The following is a 26718-nucleotide window of genomic DNA, read 5'->3' on the forward strand; positions in this document are numbered from 1 at the left end:
CTTGAAAGAAACAGTCTGTGAAGTATGTTCCAGCCTTCTCTATAACCCCAGGAAAACTCCATTCTTTCCCCAGCATCCTGTATTCTTCTGTATCACTTGATCACATTGTTTTGTGTCTGTTTATTTGTGAGTCTTCCTCGCCAAACTCCAAAGGGGATTTTATTATGCTCACTTTGGGGCAGCACCTTGCACATTGCCAGGCATGGAATTATAGCTTCCTAAAGACTCCTTGAATGAAGGAATGGATGGATGAATATATAAATCTTTGGCCAGGCGCAGTGGCTCACGCCTGTAATCCCAGCACTTTGGGAGGCTGAGGCAGGCGGATCACTTGAGGTCAGGAGTTCAAGACCAGCCTGGCCAACATGGTGAAACCCCATCTCTACTAAAAATACAAAAATTAGCCGGGCCTGGTGGCACGTGCCTGTAATCCCAACCACTTGGGAGGCTGAGACAGGGGAATCGCTTGAACCTGGGAGTCTGAGGTTGCAGTGAGCCAAGATCGCACCACTGCACTCCAGCCTGGGCGACAGAGCAAGACTCCGTCTCAAAAAAAAAAAAAAAAATAGAAAGGAAAGGAGGGAGGGAAGGAAGGAAGGAAGATATAAATCTTTGGATTTAGTCCTTGCTGTCCTGTGTATGAATGTCCTGATATGAGCATAATTTTCTTTTTTTCTGCAGTTTTGCTCTCCTGCATATTTTCCCCTGGACACCCATCTTATCTGTGGAGCACAGCACCAACGGGCTGCTCCTTCTCTGGGCTGCTGATTTGTCCATTGTCAGTCCTCTGCAGGCTGCCTCCTAAGCCTCAGGTGCAGTCTGACACCTTGCTGCATTTCCTCTCTGCATTTACAGAGGATCTCCTCTGCGTTTTCTGCCTGTGATGCTACAGGGCAGCTCAATCTCAACAAGGCCCTGTCTGCTGCCTCCAAAAAGCCCTGTCCACTAAAGTAAGCCCGTTTCTTACCTCATCACTTTGTTACTAACTGTCTTTACTGATCACATTTTTCTCATTATATCTTCTAATAGGAGAGAATATTTTTCTTTATCAGAAAACGTTGTGTTATAAAAGAATAGAACTGATTTCCTATTTGAAGATTTTCACCACACCCAAAAGAGAAAACAAGAGAACACACAGTTTCTAAGGTTCTCCCTGGTTTCCTTACTTGCCTGGTCCCATTATGCCTGAGGAGGAGGGGTGGAAGGAGAGAGTTCAGCAGGAAACATTTCACTCTTTCCTGCCTCTTATTTATTTATAATTTTGAGAGTGCTCTGTCTCCAGGAGGGAAGTAATGCTTCTCTTCTCAAATTTCTCACTGACTTTCAAATGGGCTTAAATACTGATTTCTTTAGACTTCTGACCTAATGTATTCTACACAATATGAATCTGAGGTTCGATTTCTAGGTGGGTGGGTAAGAGGTGGAAAGGGTTTGTACTCAGAGCTCAGAACTGAGAACAAGTTGAAAGATTTGCCAATGTACAGGGGAACAAAAAGTGTGCAGAGGTCTCAGGAGTGCAGGCTTCTCTGCTACAACATGAGTTTTCATAACTTGAGCTGACTTTAATATGATTGATTCATTAGGGAACATTGTATTTTGTAGATTGCATTGGCTATAATTGGACAGAGATTGGGAATTAGCACCAATCAGAGCAAAACTGCTGTTCTGGTTGCAGCCAAGTTTGTTTAAATGGCTGGGTGATAAGATGGCTGATGAAGGCGGTAAGTGCTATCTTTAGATAAGCACTGAGCTAATTGGTATTTCTGGAGGTTACTGGAAAAGAAAAGCAATTAGTTCTGCGGTGACACAGAACCGGTCTTCCAAAAATATGGGGAAATTTTTAGTTTTTAAAATAGTGTGGGTGGGAGATTTATTGGCAATAAGTGGGTAGAGACCAGAGATGCTAAACTTGCAATGCACAGGACAGACCTACACAAGGAAGAATTGGCTTGCCACAAATCTAAAATTCCAAAAGTTGCATGTCCCTAATCTTCTGCCCCAAGGATGGGTATACCAGCTGGAGAGAAAGCAATATTTTGGGTTTATAGCTGTACATGAAATTATTAAAGGAAAGCCTTTATTCTGGACATCTTGAAGTCAAAATCCTATGGTTCCTTCAGCATCTTTCTCACTGAAACAAAAGTTGGTGTTTATCAAAGCTATTTTTTCTTTTAGGTAACAGGAATTTTCTTAAGAAGACAACTAAAAATCTCTTTTAGCAGGGCAGGTGGTAAAAGAGGAAGTCCTTCCCAGTACTTGAAATATTACAGATTCCCTTACCTAGAAGTGGAGTTTACTGTACTTGTCAGTTTTCCCCTCCACTTTGGGCAATATTTCAGTTCAAAAGAAAACTGCTGTGTGAGAGGGAAAGGTCGACCAACTTATGCTTCTTTTAGATGGTATCAGTAAATCTGAAGTATCTTCAATTTGCCTTCACTTTAGAATAAAATTTAGCTTACTATACTTACTCTTAGCCCTTAAAAAAAACACATCTCTTTCCAGTGAAAACTCAGTGCTCATGCTGATAGTCCACTTTAAAAGTTAATCTGTTTTTTCTCTGGTTATTTCTAAGATTTTCTCATGACTTGTAAGTTTGATTACTTTATCCCACAATTTCACTATATGTCTAAGAATGGATTTGTTTCATTTATCTAGCTCAGAATAAAGTATGCTTCTTTAGTCTGAGGTCTCATGTCTTCATTTCATTCTGGAATTCTCTTAGCCATTTATCTTCTTATCCCAATATTTTCATTCTATTTTCTATTTCTCTTAACTTCTCTTTCACATTTTCTATCTTATTATTTCTCTGTGCTGTGTTCTGGTTTATTTTCAAAGATTTATCTTCAATTCACTAATTTTTTCTTCTGCTGTATCTAAACCGTTATTTAACAAGTCTATCAAAGGTTTATTTTTAAGTGACTGTTATTTCCTTTCTATTGTTCTTAAATGGTCCAAATTCCTTCAGCTTTAAAGTTTTACTCATCAAAAACCCTATATCTTTGAACATCTTAAATATGTTTATATTAAAGTCCCCTTTAGATTGCTGTATTGTCATAGTTGTGAAATCTCCACTTTGTTGGGTTTCTTGTTTACCACTAAACTCTCTTATATATTATAATTTCTTTTTATGCATTCACCTTCTGTAAGTTATCTTTCCTAGCAGTATCATATGAGCCCTAGAGGTTTCCCTTAGGAAATTTTCCCATAGCCTCTATTGAGGTTCTGAACTATCATGTTTTCCAGTTTGAGATTTCTGCATAATGTGAATAATGTAAATTTAGATACTTTCACCTGAGCATAGATTTGACTTTTCCATGTAGACTCCTCCATATCCCCAACCAGATGGGCTGTTTCTGGGCTCTGTTTAAAGTCTACTGGCCTCATGGCAGGAAAATTCTTCCTTGGCTTCTCACTTTAGGCAATGAATCTAGTTCTTGCTGTGTGCAGGCTCTGCACTTTGAGTCTTATCTCTACAAAGTATTAAAGCCTCAATTATGGTATCCTGGTACTTCATAGGCAATGAAGCTTTAATTCCTCTTTACTTGGAGACTTCTTCATTTATGCAACCTGGATTTTTTTTTTTTTTTTTAGTGTTTAGTTTAGATACATGCTATTAAAATATTTTAAATGTCCTATCTAGATGTCTATGTTTTTTGATTTTTTGCTTTTCTGGAGGAGTGAAAAGGATTTCCCCTTCTGCTTAGTCCACCATTTGGACTGGATGTCATTCCAGGTCTTCTTGTCTTTACCACAAAAGTAATTTTCACTCTGGTACAGATTAGATGCTCAAGAAATAGTTGTTGAATTGTTATATAATTAAGGTTTATAGCACACTTTGGCTGAATTGGACCTTGTATAAAGGAGCTTTAAATCAATCTTAAGGAAAATACACAAAACAAGAGAAGAATACTGTTTTTGATAGTGTGTCAATTTGCTTATTCATTTTATAGCAGTTGTTTCTCTTTTTCACTGTGGAATTTCCTGTTAGGCTTATCTGAGAAATTTATTCTTTATAGTTCTATAATTAACCAGAAGTGTTTGGGGCTTTGGTTTCAGCAGATTCGGGGTTTAAATTTCAACTGTGCCACACTCAGATGTTCAAGCCACATTGTAGGGACTCAACAATTACTTGTTGAAGGAATAAATGAATGGATGGATAATTTAGCTAAGGATCAGTTCTTCCTATGTGAAATGTGGCCAATAATAGTAACCTCGCCATAGGGCTTTAGAATTAAGTGAGCTCACCTCTGCAAAGAACCCAGCATAGCGTTTAGCATAGAGTAAGAGCTCAGTGAGTGTTAACTATTATTATTATTCCATATAGTTACTTGAAATGCATATCTCAGGGCCTAGACATAGAAGAATTAAATAATTATGCATTCCCTTAACTTCTTTAACTTTTCCTGTTACTTTCATTCTTTATATCTTCTTTTAAAAAATGTCTACTCTTGGCTGGGCATGGTGGCTCATGCTCGTAATCCTAGCACTCTGGGAGGTCGAGGCAGGAGGATCACTTGAGGGCAGGAGTTCAAGACCAGCCTGGGGAACATAGTGAGACCCCATCTTTATTTAAATTAAAAAAAAGAAAAAAAAATCTACTCTTTATAGGGCCATGCTCATAGATGTCATTAAGAATCCAATTTGAATTCATAGTTCTATGATTTCCCCCATATTTCTGAAAAAAATCTGATTTTTTTATATATTAATAATATTGGAATAGTTGTTCTCCAAGTAAGTATTTATTACATTATTAGAAAAATTAAATCAAGAAAGTAGAGCCAAGTAGAGGTCTGGCATCACTGCACCAGTGAAAATACCATATCATATTATTCTAAAGGAGGAAAGGTTTCCCTGACTTAATAGATATTAAAAACCAGGAAGAAATAAAAACACAAATTTCCTTGAGGTCATTCTAATTTTCACTGATTACTTTTTAAAAGGGAGTTAAAATATCTTAAAGAAAACTAGATCATCATATAGTTTTTGTGCTATTATTTTCCCTTTAATATTCAACTACAATTTATGTAATTTAAACTATAAATTTTTAGAATTCCATTGTTTCCTTGCTTGATAATAAATACAGAAACGTATAGTGCCATCTTGTGAAAAAGATGCAGAACTGCATTACACTAATTTATTTGTGTAAGTTGAAATATAACAGGGGAAAGGGATATAGAGCTAAAAGTTGTGCATAATAAAGATTAATCAGCATATTTCTGTTAGCTAGATTTAATGTTAAAAAATAGAATTTAGATGGGTTTCCCAGCTGCCTAAATATTTCTGTAGCCTGGATAATAGCCAGAAAGGCAAGGGTAACATATTGAGTTGAAATTGTGCAAGGGGAACTACCAAATTTCAGAACATTTTTATTCCAAAGGGAAAAAGAAGAGAAAAACATTATGTCTGATGCTCTAAACTGCAAAGCTGTGTATATGATTGAACCAAAGATGTTGCTAACCACAATGGAGAGGAGAGGTGAAGCACATTACAAGGAAATTCAAGGCCCTTGGAATGATCTGATTAAACAGACAAAAGTGGCTACTTGCCTACTGACTCAGGAGCACTGTCCTTGACTGCTTTTCTTATTGAAACACCCCACACGTATGTATGTTGGAAATTGTTATACATTTTCATCAGGATAGTACAGAGATCTGGTGAAGGCACTAATATAGGGAATGAATTTGTATTTGAGGTGTTTTTTGTTTGTTTGTTTGTTTTTGAGACAGGATCTCACTCTGTCACCCAGGCTGGACTGCAGTGGCACGATCTCGACTCACTGCAACCTCTACCTCCTGGGTTGAAACCTTTCTCATCCCTCAGCCTCCCAAGTAGCTGGGACTACAGGCACACACCACCACACCCAGCTAAGTTTTATATTTTTCGTAAAGATGGGGTTTCACTATGTTGGCCAGGCTGGTCTCGAACTCCTGACCTCAAGTGATCTGCCTGCCTCGGCCTCCCAAAGTGCTGGGATTACAGGTGTGAGTCACCATGCTGCCCATGTATTTGAGGTTTTATAGAGGGCCAAATGAAAAGAACAAAGAAAGATTGTTTTTGTTAGGAGGGGCTGATAGAAAATGAAGATGAGACAGAATCAGGGAAATAGTGATGGTTGGGGGTGGGAGGTGATTAAGTGAGGTAAAGAGATGGCAATAGCATTTGAAACAGAATCTCATTTTTTGTGATATCATTCTGTTGGCCAAAAAGATAGCTTCCAGGAAGTATGCTGAAGAAAATACTAAGGACAAAGAAAAGATGGGAGAAGAGTAGGTTCATTTGAAAGGTTTCATTTGAAAAAAAAAGTTGATCATTCCCTTATGATCCCACTCCTATTACCAATATTTTGTTTCTTGATTATGTAATGGCCCATAGGAGTTGTCATCAGCAAAATAATTTAACTGCCTCTCCTCCTTGCTATATATCAACAGAAGTGGTCATGTACATGCGGTGAGGCATGAAACTAAAGGAATTTTACTCCTAAAACCTTGCTTTGAATTTTCTTGCCTTCATGGATTTAACTTAGATCCTTTAATGCCATAATAATTTGGTTTCATATTGAATGTCCTTTGGGCTTTCATTGTCATTTTTTTAAGAAGTTTTCTATGAGTTCAAAATAATCCTTTTGGTGAAAAGGCAATTCAATTATAGTCACAGCATAAAAGAAACCCAATATGATACAATTCTCTATCAAGATCAGATTTACTGCTAAACCCAGATGATTTTATAAAACCAAAATTTGTGTTTGCATTTTGAGACACTTGACTGAGAGGCTTGATCAGAACATAAAGTGTCAAATAAAAGTGAGTCTCTCATCTAAATAAGGCAGAGCTGAATTAAGAGTTTAAGTGACTCTTAGGGAAATAAGTTACCTTGGCATGCATTTTATGCAGGTTTGAAAGATGATTCTTAGATACTGGATCTGCCCTGATACCCTTTCACTCATAGGCAGAGGAGAAAATGTCCAGTTCTTTCCATATCATGGAGGTTTCCCATGCCACAGGAATGCTTAACACACACATTCCCAACCATACCAGGACGGCGAATAGATTGTATTGCAATTCATTTTAAGGGGCACCATTCTTTGAAGACCTGTTTATATTCAAATTGGCACTTAGTGGCAATGTGACCTTAAGCTCTATGTCTCAGTTATATTCAGTCTGCAAAATGGGGTATTAGTATTGATCCCATAGGCTATTATGAGATAGCAGTGCTTGGCATAATTTAAGCTTCCCCTAATGTGAGCTGTTATTATTATTAGGTACAAATAACCAACATATAAATGAATAGGTTTACATGTATATGTTTAGACACTGCTAGTGATTATAAAGATGAGATAAAATTCAGCATTGTATGCCTAGAAAATGGAATTTTCTGAAGAGTGACTGATGACCAAGGATGAGATATTTCAGGATGAAGGAATTCTATAAAGGTTTAAGTGAAACAAAGGAGGGAAATAGCAGAGCAAAGAGATGCTTTCGTAGACGTGGAAAGAAGAATGTTACACATGACCCTTGAATAACATGGCTTTGAGCTGCACAGATCCATTTATATGTGAAAATTTTTCAATAAAAGTTACAAAGAGTATGCCTGCCTGTTCTGCCTTCCCTTTTACCTCCTCCACCACTTCTATCTCCCTCCCTCCCACAGCAAGACCAACCCATCCTCTTCCTCCTCCTCCTCAGCTTACTTAACATGAAGATGATGAGGATAAAGTGCCTTTTGATGATCCACTTCCACTTAATTGAGTAGTAAATACATTTTCTCTTCCTTATGATTTTCTTAATACATTTTCTTTCCTCTAGTGTACTTTGTTATAAGAATAAAGTATGTAATACATATGACTTACAAAATATGTGTTCATTGGCTGTTTATGTTATTGGTAAGGCTTCTGGTTAACAGTAGGCTATTAGCAGTTAAGTTTAGGGAAAGTCAAAAATGATATTCAGATTTTCGAATACACGGGTACTGGCAGGGTATCAGCTCCCCAAACTCCTATGTTGTTCAAGGATCAACTGTAGTTGTTAGTAGGTGCTTAGTAAATTTTTAGAGTGAGAATTGATGGCAGAGGTTCAGAATAGGACCAAAAATACTTAAACGAATCAAGAGCAGCGGAGGGGAGGTTAGAGGGGGTTACTGAGGAATTAGCACAGACCAGAGAGATATGGGACCCCCATACCTTCCATTCTCAGTTTCTAACATATTTATCCTAGCATCTGTAACTATTTTGTTGAACTTCATTGTTTATATTCCCATTGTCCTCTATTGCTATTCAAAATGTGGTCCTAGGACTAGCAGCATGGGCCTCACCTGGGAGCCTGTTAGAAATGCAGGCGCTCAAGCCCTATCCCAGAACTAAGCACTCACAAGTGCATTTTTAACAAGATACCCTGATGCTTCCTATGCATGTTACAGATTGAGAATCACCACTTTCATAGACCTTAAGCTTCTAGCATGGCGCCTGGCACTTAGTCAACTCTTAATGGAAATTTATTGAATGAATTAAGTTGAATTCCTAGAAGCTACCAAATTGAGCTACAGGTGGAGATGAAGAAATTGATTTCAACCCAAAACCAATGCCTTGAGCTACAGCTAAACTTTTAGTGACTATAGAAACTAAATAAAATCATCTGGGCTGGGCACAGTGGCTCATGTCTGTAATCCAAGCACTTTGGGAGGCTGAGGTGGGCAGATCGCTTGAGCTCAGGAGTTTGAGAGCAGCCTGGGCAACATGGCAAACCCTGTCTCTACAAAAGAAAAAAAATACAAAGAAAAAAACTAGCTGGGCTTGGTGGCACATGCTTCTAGTCCCAGCTACACAGAAGGGTGAGGCCAAAGGATCACCTGAGCTGGGGAGGTGGAGGCTACAGTGAGAGGAGATGGTGCCACTTCACTCCAGCCTGGGTACCAGAGTGAGGCTCTGTCTCAAAACAAACAAAGAAAATCTGCCTTGGCTCAGAGATAAAAAGTATGGTGTGGAATGAGGAACGAGCAGAGTGATTAAAGATTGGAGCTAGAGGGCAAAGGGACCCTGGGAAGAAAGGGCAGGAAATAGCCCACCAAAACCCTGGGAATATATATAAGAATCCTTCCACAGCAGTACAATATGTCAAGTTCTTAAACTATTACTTGTGTCCTACACTGAGGAAGATTGTGCGTGACAGTGGGAGAAGCCTGGGTGGGAGGGACAAGCAATTTAATCATACCCTACTTCTAGGGGAGGTGAGTTATCAGGGAACTTTAGACAATTGACGCAAGGATTTAAACTGCAAAAGCATTATATAGAAGACACCCCTACCCACTCTTACAGGGCTACATTTTTAGATGCACAAAGAAATTGCCACTTAAACAAGTAATAGTTAATCATAATACCCACTTTTTGAGTTGACCCTAGCTTACTGGATATGCTGACAATGACTTTGAAGTATTCACTTAAAATATACACTTAAAATATTCATTTTATAGGCTTCCTTTAAAATAAAGTATCCCTGTGTTTTAACTTAGCTTTGAAAAGACAGAATCATCTTTCATCTCTTTACCTTGTATATAACCTACCCATAATTCTTATCTAACCTTTGTTCACAATCTGTCTCACATAGATTTCTTCCCTTACATTTCTGAAGCCACTGCCTTGATTCAGGTCTCTGAAAGGAGGTAGCAAGATGATTTTCTCCTTTCTACCTTTAAAAAGTATATCTTTCTCTTTGAAATATATTTTTTCCCCCAAGAAGCATGCCTAAAACAGTTTTCTAACTAGGAATTTGGTATCATGCTTGAACTTTGGAGTTGGGTAGAACTGGGCTTGACTTTCTGCTCCATCTCTTGTTACATGTGTCACTGTAAATTACTTAACTTCTCTGCTTCAGTTTTCTCATCTGTAAAATGGCAATAGCCATGGTATTTTTCCTCATAGAATTGTTATGTAGAAGCAAGATAGTACATGTTTGTAAAATAAATGCACACTAGTGGTTAGGAGCACAGACTCTAAAGCCAGACTGCTTGGTTTAATGTTCGGCTACCTACTAGCTCTGTGTCTTTGGGCAAATTGTATCATCTGTCTATGACTCATTTGAAAAATGGGGATAATGATAGTACTTTCCTCATAGAAGTTTTTTTTTTACCTTAATTTATTTTTTATTTTTATTTATTATTTATTATTTTTTATTATACTTTAAGTTCTAGGGTACATGTGTACAATGTGCAGGTTTGTTACATATGTATACATGTGCCGTGTCGGTTTGCTGCACCCCTTAACTCGTCATTTACATTAGGTATTTCTTTTAATGCTATCCATCCCCCATCCCCCCACTCCACGACAGGCCCCGGTGTGTGATGTTCCCCACCCTGTGTCCAGGTGATCTTATTGTTCAATTCCCACCTATGAGTGAGAACATGCAGTATTTGGTTTTCTGTCCTTGCAATAGTTTGCTCAGAATGATGGTTTCCAGCTTCATCCATGTCCCTACAAAGGACACGAACTCATCCTTTTTTATGGCTGCATAGTATTCCAACCTCATAGAAGTTTTATGAGGAATAGATGAGCAAAGTGCTTCATTGTGTCTGGTGCATAGTAAGTGCTATACACGTTTCTTAATTTAACGATTGCACACAAGATGTGTTCAATAGTTGTTTTTCTATCTCCTGCCTTTAGTTTCATCACAATCCATCCCCATTGGTTCCTTTCAGATCTTTCTAAAATATCCATCTCCGCATCAGTTAGAAGGTTGTGGTCAACATGAGAGCCTTCCTTATGGAGCTAAGATTGCTGCTGAAGCTCATAAGTACCACATCCTTACACAACGGAATTCACAAGGGGAACAAGATGGATTTGGAGAATGCGGTAGCAAGATGATTTTCTTGTTCTACCTTTAAAAAGGTATGTCTTTCTCTTAAAAGGTATGTCTTTCTCTTTGAGAAATGTTTTTTTTCCCCCAGATGCATTCAGTGGATTTATTTTACAGCTTATTGCTCAGACTTATGTTATATTGCCAGAGCTAGTGGTCTCCATCCATTAAAGCTAGGCAGGCCGAAAGAAAGAACAGCTACTGGGGAGCTAGTTAACAGTGTCTGCTATGCTTTCATCATGTCACTTTCTTGCTCTGCTTCAAAACCCTTTCATGTCACCACATCGCCTGTTCAAAGTGCTCTCACCTTGCTCAGCAGTTATTAAGACTCCTCCATGAGGTAGCCCTTCCACTTCCCCAGTCTCATCACCATGGACCTCCTCTGTATAGCTCTACTGGTGCCAAACCATTCTATCAGCTATTACATAACCATGATTTGTACTTTGCTGCTGTTATGGTCTGAATGTGTTCCTCCAAATTCATATGTTGAAACTTAACTGCCAATGTGGTGGTATTAAGCAGTGGCCTTTCGGGGATGACAAAATCATGAGGGTAGCACCCCATGAATGGGGTTGGTGAACTTATAAAAGAAGTTTGAGAGAGCACCCCAACCCTTTTAGCCCACTCTCTGCAATGTGAGGACGCAGTGTTGCTCCCCATCAGAGAAAGCAGGATTCAAGGTGCCACCTTGGAAGCAGAGATCGGGCCCTCACCAGACACTGAACCTGCCAGCGCCTTGATCTTGGACTTTTCCACCTCCAGAACTATGAGGAATCAATTTCTATTATTTATAAATTACCCAGTCTGCAGTGTTTTGTTATAGCAGCAGGAATAGACTAAGACACCTGTCCTCCTTTCCCCATACATTATTGTCTGTAACACATTTATCTTTTCTCCCTCTTCCAGCCACCACAATACACATGCTTCTTGCTCATCTCTGTGTATTAAATTGAACATTTCCTTAAAGGTCCAGATTAAATGTCTTCTCTTTTCCTGAAACATTGTTTGATCTTCCACGACAGAAAGACCTTCCCTTCCTTCACGTTTCTCATGTTGATTGTATTACTTAAATGTTCTTTGGTATTTTAGTTATGGAATGGGCTATGTATTTTTCACCTTTATGTCCCATTTGTCCCAACTATGCTTAATAATAATAACAATTATAATACTATTTATTGTTTACCATAGATGGGTATATTTACATTGAGCACTTTACGTGTATTATCTCACTTATTCATCACACTAACTCTTAAAGGCATAAATATTTCCTTTTTAAAGATGAGTAAACTGAAGTCAATGACAGATAGTGACTTGCCTTAAATTAAAACTCAAATCCTGTATTTTCAAATAGTGTGCTATATGCTTCTTTATTTACTTACTTTTCAAAGTAGTAAGTCTTTATTATGTTTAAAAGAATGAAAGAGTATTTTGTATGATTTTCTAATAAAGATAGCCAGTCTGTATAATATGTACCCTGTGCTCACTTGTCTTCCCCTCAGATGTAACCCAAAGAAACAGAATTATGTTTTGTTTTTTTAAAGTATCTGAATAGCTATTTATTCTTCTTCTGGCTTTTTTTAAATTTTTGTTTCTGTTTTTGTTTTTTTCAAGATGGAGTCTCACTCTGTTGCCCAGGCTGGAGTGCAGTGGCCTGATCTCAACTCACTGCAACCTCTGTCTCCCGGGTTCAAGCGATTCTCCTGCCTCAGCCTCCCAAGTAGCTGAGATTACAGGCATGTGCCACCATATCCCACTAATTGTTTTTGTATTTTTAGTAGAAACGGGAGAGTGAGGGTTCGCCATGTTGGCCAGGCTGGTCTCGAACTCCTGACCTCAAATGATCTTCCTGCCTCGGTCTCCAAAAGTGCTGTGATTACAGGTGAGAGCCACTGTGGCCAGCAAGCTATGTATTCTTCTATTCATTCAACAACAAATTCCTAAATAAGTTGAACATATACTGCTTGTATGGACCAAGTAATATGCTAAGTCACAATACTTTGGCTCTATACGACTATTCAACAGAAACTTGCTTAAACATAGAGTGTGTTTTATTATCTCCCTTAACAATTGGTAGGAGGTTGCTAGGCGGGTGCAGTGGCTTAATGATGTTAGGTCTTAGGATTCATATCTCTACAATTCTCTTGACTTAATAGTTGCAGTATGGATGCTGCAACTCCAGAAATCATGCCCTCACATAACTGCATTCAGAAGCAAGAAACAGAAATGCAGGGCAGAGTTCTGTTTCACCATCTCTTTACTATCAGGGAAGAAAAGCTCTCCTCCATTTTCCAGACTTCTCATTGCTTTCCACTGTCCACAGTTGGATTACACGCTTGCCCCTGGAACACTAGTCCCATATTGCCTGAGATGAATCTTCTGATACTTGAACTAAATTGAGATTATGTTAGTAAGAAAGAAAGGGAAATGAATTTTGAGCCAACAACAGAAATGGTCTTGTTAGATGAGTAATGTACACGTGAGTAAAAGGGGCACAGTTTCTTGTCCTGATGAAGCTAACAACAACAACAAAATCACCTAGCAAGGGTGATAGATATTACATTTAAAAAATAAAATTATACATTGTGATGAGTAATAAAAAGGAAATAAACAAGGAGCTGGGAAGTAGACTGATGTCTACTTAGGACAGGGTATTTCTGGAAAGACTTCTCTGTGAAGGTGACATTTAAACTGAAACCAAAGAAACAGAACGAGTCAACCATGAGCAGAGCAAAGAGGAGTGTATAGAAGCATGTATAGAGACCCTCAGTTAAAATAAAAGAAAGCAAGTGTGACTGCTGATTTGTTGGTAGTATAAGATTAGAGAGGGGTGGAGACCTAGCTCTTCACAAAAACCCATTGTCTTCTTCTTTTGTAACACTAGAATGCAGCCAGGTGAATGGAGGTACAACTGCAATATATTTCCCAGGCTCCCCTCATTTAGGAGGAGCAGTGGCATGTCAGTGGGAGTGATGTGGAATACTTTTGGGCCAATAATGCATACAATGGGTGCACCTCCTTATCCTCTCTTCCCCCACTCCAACTGGCTGCATCCTCTTTGTAGCAGCTTCTTTGAATGTTTAACTGCACCCTCTTTGTGGCAATTTAAGCTTTGGGTGTTTAGATGTGGAGAAGACTCTAAAATACTTGTTCTTAAAATGTTGTCTGAGATCAGCAGTAGTAACATCACCCAAAAACTAGCTAGAAAGGCAGACTCTTGAGCCCCATCCCAAACCTACTGAATCAGAAACTCTGAGGATGGGGCTGATATCGTTTGTATGTTTGTCCCCTCCAAATCTCATGTTGAAACATAACCTCGAATGTTGGAGGTGGGACCTAATTTGAGGTACTGGATCATGGGGCAGATCCCTCATGAATGGCTTAACACCATCCCCTTGGTTTGAAGTGAGTTCTCAGCTCATGGAAGATCTGGTTGTTTAAAAAGGTCTGGGATCTCCCCTTTCTGTCTCTTGCTCCCTCTCTCTTGCTTCCTCTCTCACCGTGTAAAGTGCCCTCTCCCACTGTGCCTTCCACCATGAGTAAAGTTCCTTGGAGCCCCACCAGAAACTGAGCAGGCGCCAGCACCATGCTTCCTGCTCAGCCTGCAGAACTGTGAGACAATTAAATCTCTCTCTCTCTTTTTTTTAATTAATTACCCAGCCTCAGGTATTTCTTTATAGCAGTAGAAGAACGGACTAACACAGGGCCTAGCAATGTGTGTTTTAACAAGCCCCCCAAGTGCTTCTGATGCATGCTGGAGTTTGAGAGCCACTATTCTAAGAGAAGGAGAAAACACAAAATGAGAGAAACCCGAGTCCCTGAATATTATGTGGAATAAGGCTGGATATATGAATCTGGAGCTTAGGAGATAGTTTTGGGTGGGAGACGATCAGCTTAGTATGATATTTAAAGCCATAAAAATGGGTAAGATAACCTAGGCAGAGGGTTAGAGACAGAAAAAGAAGAGGACCTAGGATTGAGGCATCCGTAATTTTGACATTCAGAGGGAGGGAAGAGGTAGAGTAGCTTACAAAAGAATCTGAGAAGTTGTGGCTAAAGAGGTAGAAGGCAAACCAAGAGCTAAGAATGTGATGTTATGGAAGTCAAGAGGTTAAAATGTTTCAGGGAGGAAGTTGTGGTCCCCTCTGCTGAACTCAGAAATTCTCTCCTCCTCACTGAGTAGCGCCATCGCATATTTTGGAGAAGGGACTCTGACTCAACAGTGAATCTGAAAGAGTAAAAAGCAATCCTATGCTCCCTTGCCAATGTTTGGTTCAAGAATGAACCTGAGGCCCAATTCTGGCAAGAAGTGTATTAAAGACTTCTGAGAAAGTCCTTTCTTTCTCTTACTAAACAGCCACAGGAAGCCAGTGACTTTCTCTCCCATTGGATGTAAATAATAGCACTGACTGTAATTGGCAGCCATTTTACAACCATGAAGTGATAATGAGGGTACCATTTTAAGACCATAAGTTTCCTCATCTGTAAAATGGGGATAATGCATCATAAAGGATGAAGCTGGCACTTTAGACTCCAATACAGAGATTAAAGTAACCAAAGTCCTTGATGACATGGTTGAGCTGCCAAATCTACCAAACCAAACTTTCTGTTATGCAAGTTAATACACTTCCTTGTTGTTGAGTCAGTTTAATTTAGGGTTTCTGTTACTTGTAGCTGGAAGCCACTTATCTGATACAGTGATATATGAAGGCTCCTTCTATTTTTAATTGTTAGAGAGTCACTGATTTATTTCAAATTCTCAAGAAAGATTATTTGTATGAAGTATTGTTCAATGAGTTTTGTAAAGCACTTTTCTAATAAAATGGAATCAGCAACCTAATCTTATAAGACAACAAAAAAATCAGCTTAGGAATAATGGATTAAGCATTTTACTTATCTGAAAATGAATATATATTTCCTATTAATGCGTTCTACAATTCAAGTCATATTTTAATATTAAAGCCTCACTGAAACTAATTTTTTGAACTCTCATTTGGAATAAAAGATGCAAATATAGAAAGTCTATATCTTATCCTTCCCTCAACCTTGAGCAATTGTAGGGATTGAAAATTAGGTGTATGGAAAGAACATCTTGAATATTAAATATGCAAAATACTATAAACGTGAAAATATATCTACACAAAGTCAATGGTTTGACGGGTTGAAATATTGATATCTTAATTTCATTTAGAAAATTGATTTATTAAAATACAATGAAGCTTAATACTTCAAATTAATTTTATTTACTACTGGAACACTGAGGTCGTAGAAAGAATGTTAATTTAGAAATCAGGAGCTTTGTGTATTAGTTCCATCCCTGCCACCAGTTGTGTGGTCTCAGGGACATAATTAACTTCTTGTTACCTTCTCTAGCAAAATGAGGAGAGGTTGGTAACCTGTGGAGTTCTTCTAGTTTTCTAATTCTATAATTTAATTGTGTCTTCAATTTCTAAAGTAAAAATAACTATAGACACATTTTTATAAACATGTTTTATGTTATCTACTCTGTTTCCAATTCCAAATTGGTAATTGCTTCTAATTCATAACTTGGTCTCTTTTCAAACATTTCTATTTGGAATTATTTACTATGAGCAGGTAGGAAGCTTCCATATAGATGAGTTTTAATTAAAATACTTGCATACTATGCACTGGCAAGACACATTTTAATGAGAGGTGCAAATAGATTGTCACAATGAAAAGGGAAAATTTCCTCTTTGTGTTGGCTGGAAACAGGATTAAAATTAAGAATGATTCTTAAACCAGCAGTGTATTTCATAAACCATGAGATTATCATTAACAATATTCTTATTGCAAATGCCACTGTTGACATTCTCACTTATAGTGTAGTACATGCCGCATCAGCAGGATTAGTTTTGGGTGTGAAGTTTATAGTGTTTGATTTGTGCTGCAGTGCCTACAATGACAAACATGTTTCAATGGTCCAGTGACCTAAGTCAGCATGTGCAAATGTGAACAGCAATGATGATTTTCTGTGAACCGTCTCAGATATTGGTAGACAAATGTTATATTTGTTTCTTTTGGTCTGCTATTCCTCGTATTTCTCCCTTCACACCTTCCCAACAAAATATATGTATATTATACACGACTATTAATTTGGGGCATTTTCTTAGTAATTCACTGCCTTCTCTAATTTTAAAAGACTGTGTAGAACTTAACCTTTGGCTTGATAAATATGATTCAATTGAGTGAAACTCCTGTTCTTTTGGAACTTAAAAGATAAAATGCCAATATAAATATGTGGTAATTATCACCAGAACTGTTCATTTTTAACTATTAAATTTAAGCAAAGAGCAATTGCTGTTTGTTCATGCAAAACAAACAGTGCCTGCTTAAGATCTTTTTGATTAATCTGCTTCCCTGCATGCAGATTCAAGAGAAAACACTGCCTCAGGCTCAGTACACACATCTATGAAACAGAAAAAGCTTTGCTGTCCCAGTCTATTGTTAGAGTGTTCCCAAAAAAGGGGTTTAGTGGTAAACAATGCAGGATCAGCTCGGAGAAGGGAGACCAAACCTCAGGAACAGGCCAATACATCCAAGGCTTGGCAGATGCAGCCCGGTTCTAGAACAGGCCTTGAAAACAAAAGGGGTGCTTTGTTGTTGGGGGAATGTGGTTGAATAGGTGAAGTATAGGGATTTACAGAGAAGGTAGCTATTAGCAGGCATAGTGCCAGGTCGCACTAAAAACTGCATCCAAAACAAGATAATAAGGAAAAAACTTTTAAAAGCAAAACTCCTGGCAGAGTTGGTGCTGTGTGTATGACAGCCAGATAGAATTCCCAGGCACTGTGCTCAGCTGGATAGGTCACCTGGGTGGATGCCGAGGGCAGGACAGGCTGATAGGGCCGGATAGGAAGTAGAAGCCTGTGTTGAAAGCTCCCCCATGCCCTTCAAGCTTCCCAACTTGAATAAAGATCCACAGAAAATTACAAAATACCAAGTTTGGTTGGATTTCTTGTAGAAACTGGGGAAAGGTGGAGATGGATGTTGAGAACATAATGAAGAAAAGGGAAAGCATTCCCTTCCCAGAGAGCTATAGGAAATCACAGGGAGGGCTCTAGATGGACACCAGCTGGGACGGGCATTTCTAACAGCTCTGATGGAGAGGGGAGCCCCAGGAGATCCCTAGGTTACAGGAGAGAAGTGAACTGATGGCTGCCTACCGTATTTTAGGCACTACTGTCACCAGATCAAGGAAGGCAGTAAGTGGGTTCAATCTTCTGGGAGTAGGGCTGGCAGGGACAAGGTAATGAGCAGATCCTAGCTGCTGGCAAGAGACATTGGTTGAGCTCCCACAGGGAGCCGGGGCTCTGACCAGGGTGGTTAAGGTCTGTGTGTGAGTGGTGGTGGGAGTTGTGAGTCTGTGGATGGGCGATGTCGACCAGGGGAGAGGAATCTTAAACACCCAGGTGGAAGAAGTCAGTTAGGCAGCATGCCCCCCATTGGAGTTATTCAAAGGGTTCTTTTAGATGGATTCATAGGCTCCCCTAGCAATCTTGTCTCAGGCTTGAATATTTCACACCCTATTGCTTCCTTGGATGAAAAAGTTGATATGCAGATTCAATATCTTCTGATTTAATTTTGAGGCAGAGCAGACTGCAGCTGCAGGGGGTCATCTGGACCATCTGGAAAGGGGCTAAGACAGGGACAGGAATTGCCATCAATATGGACAGAGTTTGATTTCTGAGGGGGCAGAAGAGACTTGTGAATAACTTATTATAGAACAAGTCAAGACAGTATATGATCATTTGTCATTACATGACACAGATTGGATAAAAACTAGGGCATTATAGAGCATTGATTCATGTATTAAATAATTGTTGAGAAAGTGCTATGGGACAAGACCCATACTAGGTACTGAAGACACAAAGATGAATGATATCACCACTGTTCTCAAGAAGCTCCTTGTCTAGTAGAGAAGCGCATGAGTTAAATAAATAAAAAAAAAGCCTAATTTGCTATATTACATACAAGCAACAAGTCTTATGGAAGGCCAAGGGAGAATACCCTACTTAGACTGGGAGCTAAAAACAGCCTCCCAGACAAAGAAAGTCATGTCAACTAGGATGTAAATCTTACACTGAGAGACAGAGAGAGAGAGAGAGAGGAAGGAGGAGAGAGCCAGGAGGGGAGTCGGGGCGGGGGGGAGAGAGAGACAGACAGACAGACAGACCTGGGACGGGAGCACTGAGCTATAAAATCCTTTTTTAACCAGTAGTTGCTCTTTCAAACTTCTGCAGGGAAATGTGTGCACAGAAACTGATGATCAGCTCTGGCCCTAAGTCAGTGAAATGAGCAAGTTAGGACAGACCGTGGGGATTGTGCAGATCAAGTGCCTACAACAAAAGTAACCCCACAATCCTTTGCCTCCTTCTGTTTTGTCCTTCACCCTGATTTCGACCCAAGAGCAGACCAACTACCTCCAACCCCGTCAGGCTGAGGCTGCAGGGACAGTCCCTGAGCCCACTGCACCTCTCCAGCAACTGATGAAGGAACCACAAAGACTGTCCATGCACGGGTTTACCATGTGATGTCTTTTCTCAACCCAAAGAAAAGCTCTTTTCCTCTCATGGAACTCAGTAAAATGCCTTTAAGATGACCAAATATAACAATATTCCTCTATTTTGGGGGAAGTGTATGGTGAAGGGACTGGGTGAGAGGAGCTCTCCAGAGAGGTCAAGAGTCCTGTGTGCATAAAGTTTTGAAGCATGAAGAAACCTAGAAATGGGTATTCTTAACAGAGGGAGCCATATGCCAAAGATCCCAGGCATGAGAGATCCCAGCAAGTCTAGGAAATGCCAAAGAATGCAACATGGTTGGACCCTAGGATGTGAGGAAGGATTAGGGGTGACAGATGAGGGGGAAGGCTAAATATCTTGGACGTTATTCTGCAGAGATTTATAGGGCTTCAGATGACTGAAAGTAGTAGGGATATGATCAGATTCTTATTGTAGAACCATTGCCTGCTCATATAAAAAGCCCACCTAAGCCTATTCTGAAATTTACTTACTACTATCCTGATTCTCATTCAGTCTCAGAATTTAGTAAAATGAGATTCCTATAGTGGATGATTAACTGCATGCTCACTGCAAATTGGAACGTGTCAGAGAGTGTCCAGGAGGAATGAGGTTCTATTAGTGTGAAAGCAGCATCGTAGTCTCAGAATAAGAAACTACTGGGCACATTAGGTTGAAACTCTAGGATCAAGATAAGAAAGAACATGAATGGCATCTTCCTATTCAGTAACCTCCCCAGATAGCATACTGAAATGAAGAAGCAGCTCACTGAAAGGAAGGGTGGTAAGGTGAACCTGCTTGGTTTAGGACCTTAAATAAGCTATGAGTAAGGATAGCTCTTTTTTTTTTTTTTTAACTCCAAGGCGGAGTTTCGCTCTTGTCACCCAGGCCTGAGTGCAATGGCATGATCTCAGCTCACTGTAACCTCTGCCTCCCAGGTTCAAGCGATTCTCCTTCCTCAGCCTCCCGCGTAGCTGGGATTACAGGAATGCACCATCACGCTGGGCTAATTTTTTTTTTTTTTTTTTGTATCTTTAGTAGAGATGGAGTTTCAGCATGTTCGCCAGGCTGGTCTCGAACTCCTCCCCTCAGGTAATCTGCCCCCCTTGGCCTCCCAAAGTGCTGGGATTACAGGCACGAGCCACTGCGCTCAGCCTAGGAGAGATCATTTTTAAGAGCAGTTTAGAACAAAGTTTACATGATTCCCAACCCAGATCTAAAGACAGATTCTGCCAAGATTTTTTGGGAGGGGCACTGCATTGATAACCAATTGTTATGTAATTGCTGCATAACAAATTAACCCAAAACTTAGTGACTTAAAACAACAATATTTATTATCTCACAGTTTGTGTCGTGTCAGGAATCTGGCCATGACTTAGCTGGATGCTCTGCTTTAAGGTCTCTCACAGACTGCAATCAAGATGTCAGCTGGGCTGCAGAAATCTCAGGGCTCATCTGGAGGAGTATCTACTTCCATGGTCATTCCTGTGGTTATTGGCAGGGCTTAGTTTTCTTGTAGATTGTTGGCCAGAGTCCAGCTGCAGTTCCTTGCAATGTGAGCCTCTCCACGGGGCAGCTAACAACATGGCATCTGGTGTCCATCAGAGGGCAAGCACATCAGAAATCAGAACATTTTTGTAACTTAATCTTGGAAGTGCCCTATGCTCTATTTGCTAGCAGTTAATGTCCAGCCCACTTGCAAGAGGAGGAGATTACAAGCCATCTTAGGAGGTGTTTAATACAGGTAGGAAAACATGGGAAGAATAAGCCCCATTGAAAATCTCTCAATCTAGAGATAACATTGGAGATGGAGCCTGAGGTTGTAAATAAGGGGAACATGAGAGGCTGAGAAGGGGGATCTTCCCTTTTAAGCATTGGAAAGAGTATGGGGAAGAGAGGAGAGTCTAGAAGGTGGCAAGATGAAATACTGTCAGGATTTCTTAGGAAATAATGTGAGACATCTGCTGGGCAAAGAGTTATAAGATTGGAATTCCATTTTGCTGCTAATGACTTACTAAGCAAAGTTCTTCTGCATCTTGAAAATCTCGAGGTTGAACAGTCACAACTGGATGCAGGCTCTCTCCATAAAGCTGATAGGATGGCTTCTGACAGTCCCAGTCTCCCATCCTCCTATTCAGTAATCACAAGATGTTTCTGCCTGTAACATACATTCATTCCATAAAAGGGCTGGTTGGCCTGCCTATGTTATATGACCACTAGTGGACCAATCATTGTATGCAGGAGGGTGTAAGATCACGACTGGCCTACTCTGAGACTCATACCCTCGTGAAGGCTGGGGGCCTTGTTGTAGTCATTAGTACTGTTCAACAAATGTTTCCATTTCCCTTTTAAGCACATGTAAGGAAGGATTGCACTTCCTTGGCCTGTTGGAGTAATTTGTGGCTTTCTTTGACTAACGAAACTAAACAGAAGTGATGGGAGTTACTTTTTAAAAATATAACAGTTTTATTGAGCTATGGTTTACATACCATAAAAGCCACCCTCTTAAATTATAGAAGTCAGTGGTTTTTAGTATACTCACAGAGCTGCTCAACCATCACCACTAATTCCAGAATATTTTAGTCACCCCAAAAAGAAACTCCATACTCATTAGTAATTACTGCTCATTTTCTCCTCCCCCTATTCACTGTCTGTTACTAATCTATATTCTGCCTCTATGGATTTGCCTATTCTGAACATTTCATACAATATGTGGCCCTTTTGTGACTGGCTTCTTTCATTTAGCTTTAGCTTCTTTCATAATGTTTTAAAGGTTCTTGCATGTTGTAACTGATATTAGTACTTCATTCCTTATCATGGTTGAATAGTATTCCATTTATGGATATACCACATTGTGTTCATCCATTCATCAGTTCATGGACATTTGGGCTATTCCCATTTGGGGGCTATTACAACTAATGCTGTTATGAATATTTGTGTAGAAGTTTTTGTGTGGACATATTTTCAGTTCTCTTGGTTATATACCTATGAGTGGAATTGTTGGATCATAGGGTAACTCAATGTTTTCTTAAAGAAAAACACACACAAACAACTTCTCTACGGTTTTCCAAAGCACCTACACCATTTAACATTCCCATTAGCGATGCTTAAGCATTCTAATTTCTTTGCTAATGCTATTTATTTTCTTTCTTTTTAACTTTAGCTATCCTTGTGGTATCTCATTGTGATTTTGGTTTGCATTTCCCTAATGATTAATGATGTTGAGCATCTTTTCACCTCCTTATTAAGCAATTGTATATCTTCTTTGGAGAAATGTCTATTCAACTCCTTTGTTCATTTTTAAATTGGGTTGCTGTTTTTTAATTGTAAGAGTTCTTTGTATGCTCTGAATACAAGTTTCTTATCAGATATATTATTTGTAAATATAGTCTTATATTCCTTGGGTTGTAATCTTGCTTTCTTGATAGTGTTCTTTGAAGCCAAAAGTTTAATTTTGATGAAGTTCATTTTTTTGTTGTTGTTTCTGTCATAAAAAAGAAACACAAGGTCATAAAGATTTATTTCTATGTTTAGTTTTTACAGTTAGCTTTACATTTACATTTTACATTGAACTTTTACATTTAGGTCTATGATCCATTTTGAGTTAATTTTTGTATATGATGTGAGGCTCAACTTCATTCTTTTTAATGTGAATATCTAGTTATCCCAATGTCATTTGTTGGAAAGACTATTCTTTCCCTCATTGAACAGTCTTGGAACCTTTTCAAAATTCAGTTGCCCATAAATAAAAAGGTGTAATTCTGGGCTTTCAATTCTGTATCATTGATCTATATGTCTAGCTTTCTACCAGGACATGTGTGTCTCTTCTATGTGAAGGCTTTAAGAGAAAGTGAATGATTTACCACACTTTGTTCCTCTGCCTTTTCATTGGCAATGCTCCCAAAAGAGGCTGAAGTCTTAGTTTGGATTTCAGAGTGATAGTAACATGAAGAGCTCTGAGACAAAGCACACAGGCATACAGTGTGAGTGAAAATTAAACTTTTGCTTGAACTATCTAATATCCAGAGGTTCTTTGTTTAGTGGTCTGTCCTGACAAATACAGAACTATAATTGACAACTCTACATAGAGTAGGGGTCAAGTTCACAAGAAAGCCAGAAGAAGAGAAATAGGAAAGTATGCTGGATAAGCAAAACTAGTTTTAATTTTAAACCCCAAGGGTTTTGAGCTAGCCCTTATTGTAAATCTTGGTTACCTTACCAACATCAACACACATGACTGACTGTTGTGTTTTGGATACAGAGGTGCCAGTAATTCAGTGTATAAATGGTATCTCTACCCTCAGGATCTTACATTTTAATTGAGGAAACAGGATGTATACATGGAAAATAAAGAATAATGCAAGGTGCCATGTAATAAGTGGTGCTAGAGAGGATTAAAGGAGAAGGAATGAGGATGAGATGGGGGGCTAGGAGAAGGTAGGAGGGCTTCTCGGCATTGTGACTTCAGCTGTGCCTTCTGGGAAAAAAAGGACTTGGATAATCAAAAAGGAGAAGGAAAATGCATTGGTACAGGTGAACAGAGGGGTAGGCAAAGAAATGTCAACCTTTATTATTGGGAGACAATAATAAATAGACCATTTTACCTGGGCCAAGAACATTTGTTGAAAAATCGATGTAAAAAGAGTTTGGGGGCTAAATTGAAGAAGGCTGTGAACAATGAGCCTAAGTTTTATTATGCAGGTAGTGAAAGTATGAAAATTTATGTAGAGGGAAAATGATGTTTTGTGAAATTAATCTCATTGCAGTGACATTAGAAGCAGTACAGGAAATTCTACTTTCTCTCCTCTGCAAGGACCAGTAAAGGTGGCTCTTTAGACTTGCCTTAGCTCATCAGTACGGTTCTGTAGAGACCTGGAAATGCCAATTACTTCACTGGCATTCTCTAAACTAGAAGCAGACTAGCTGAATATTATCAACTGATATTGGAGTTTTCTAAATTGGGTAGTATACTGTCAGTACACGAAATGATAATATGTATTGAAATGGTCAAAAAATATACTGAATGTGGGCTTCAAATTTTTGGATCCATCAGGGCCTTGCAAACAGACTGCAGAGACAAATGGTACACTTTAATAGTGAGGAAAATTGAAGACTCAACCATCTGAATGTGGCAATTATGAGCCATTTTGAGTGAGAGTTAGCAAATATTTTCCCAACTGTCAATTCTAAGAAACATGCAAACAGAATCTGTGTAAGTGAATGCAGCAGTGAACCTGTGTCTCTGTTAAACCACAGAGAAATGAAATAAGCTGATTTTAAATTTCTAAAGGGAACTTAAACCACCTGCTAAGTTGTAGAATTTAATTTGCAAGATGAATACTTGGCAATGTGACACTTCTTTCATAGCTTCATTTGCTGTTTTAATAAAAATGTTCACAATGCTTTGGTTCCATCTGTTAGAGAGAGTGAAAACAGCTAACTGCTATTCAAACAACAAAAAATACAGCTTTCTAGAAAACTATATCGAGTGCCACCAAAATGTAAAGAGGTATTTATAAATTTTAAACTTCTGCCTCACTTCTAAAAAATGCTGTAATTGCACTGCATCTTGGACTCAACATATAAATAATTTAGGCAAAAATTTTAAATTTAAATTATTCCCCCACACTCTAAATGCAAACAAATGCTTTCAAAGTTATCATGACCATGAATCTTACTGCAGCAAGCTACAGATTTTCATTATAACAATTTGTAAGCAAATATTTGGTTATTTTTATAAGCCACAAATCTGGCTGAAGGAGAAAATGATGTATAATAAACAAAAACTCTGCAAACCACAAACTATGTTTGTTGCTGTATTTCCAAATCAGACATAACAATAAGCTATAGTAAGGCAGCCTCCCTACATTATTAATTGGCTTTCCATAGCTTTTCCCTCAGAATAGATCAAGATTTTATAACTTTCAATAAGAATTATTTCTCAAGCACCAATTCCAGTATTTAATACAATGCTGGCAATATGGTAGACACAACCTATGTGTTTGTTGAGTCAGAGAAGTACGATAGTAGTCATGCTACATCAAGAAGAGACAATGAAGGGAGAGACACAGGGATGGGAACAAAATGTAGGAAAAAGAAAGAAGAGCCTTTTCAGGCCAGGTGCAGTGACTCACGCCTGTAATCCGAGCACTTTGGGAGGCTGAGGCAGGAGGATCACTTGAGGTCAGGAGTTTGAGACCAGCCTGGCCAGTGTGGTGAAACCCTGTCTCTACTAAAAATACAAAATGCAGCTGGGTGTGGTGGTGTGTGCCTGTAATCCCAGTTACTCGGGAGGCTGAGGCAGAAGAATTGCTTGAGCCCGAGATGTGGGGTTTGCAGTGAGCCGAGATCGCGCCACTGCACTCCAGCCTGGGCAACAGAGCAAGACTCCATCTCAGAAAATAAATAAATAAATAAATAAATAGAGAGAGGGAGGGAGGGAAGGAGGGAGGAAGGAAGGAAGGAAGGAAGGGAGGGAAGGAAAGGAATGAAGGAAGGAGAGAAAGAAAGAAATAAGAAAGAAAGAGAGAGAGAGAAAAAGCAAGCAAGCAAGAAAGAAAGAAAAGAGAAGAGAAAAGAAGAGCCTTTTCAACTCTGTGTCCCATGGAATTATCTAAAACATTAGTTTCAGCTTTTCTTACCTTGAGGTACTGGCTAGTTGTACAGTGAGGAAAGCTAAGGCTAGCAATGACATATAAGGGGGTCTGCAGAATGGCCTATTGTCTTTCCTTTGCTTGTTCCTGTAAGAAAATTCTGTATTTACCTTTCCTGCAGAAAGGTAGGGTTATGAGACACATCTTCTTGCTGTGTCCTCACTTGGTAGAAGGAGTGCTAGGTTGCTCTCTGGCCTCTTCTTATATTAGGGCACTGATGACATTCGTAAGGACTCCACCCTCATCACCTAACTACCTCAAAAAGGGTCCACTTCCAAATACCATCAAGTTGGGCTTACGGTTTTAACCTTTGAATTTTAAGGAAACACAAACATTCAGTTAATTGCAACAAATATGTTTTAAATGGTAAATGAAACAACTGTCTCTGAAAAAGGGACCATGAAGCAGGGCTATATATAAGAATTTTGTAAAATAACAGAAAGAAATGAAATATGAAGTGCAGAACTGAAAGTTGAAGCAAAAAGGTAAAGCAATTACAGAAAAAGAGGAACTGGTTAGAAAACAAGGGAAAATAGACACTGTGGAAATTCATGGGGATATAAGAGATAGAGGAAATAGAAATTAGGGAAGTAGAAAAAAATTGAGGAGATAAAAAGAATTAGAAGGAAAACAATAGAAAAATCAGGCAAAGAAGCTTCAGTGTATGCATCTTGAAATCCTTAAAGGAAG

The 26718-nt window shown here is 39.0% G+C and overlaps 1 long non-coding RNA gene across 1 annotated transcript in view; it reads left to right on the forward strand.

Moving 5' to 3' along the window:
- LOC105370228 (uncharacterized) overlaps window positions 1–26718 on the forward strand; it is a 53024-nt gene that overhangs the window by 2207 nt on the left and 24099 nt on the right. The window contains exon 2 of the long non-coding RNA XR_942002.3: window positions 10684–10873. This is a non-coding gene — a long non-coding RNA (uncharacterized LOC105370228). The remainder of the gene's footprint in view (window positions 1–10683; window positions 10874–26718) is intronic.

Source organism: Homo sapiens, chromosome 13 (assembly GCF_000001405.40).
Source record: "Homo sapiens chromosome 13, GRCh38.p14 Primary Assembly".
NCBI classification, from domain to species: domain Eukaryota; kingdom Metazoa; phylum Chordata; class Mammalia; order Primates; family Hominidae; genus Homo; species Homo sapiens.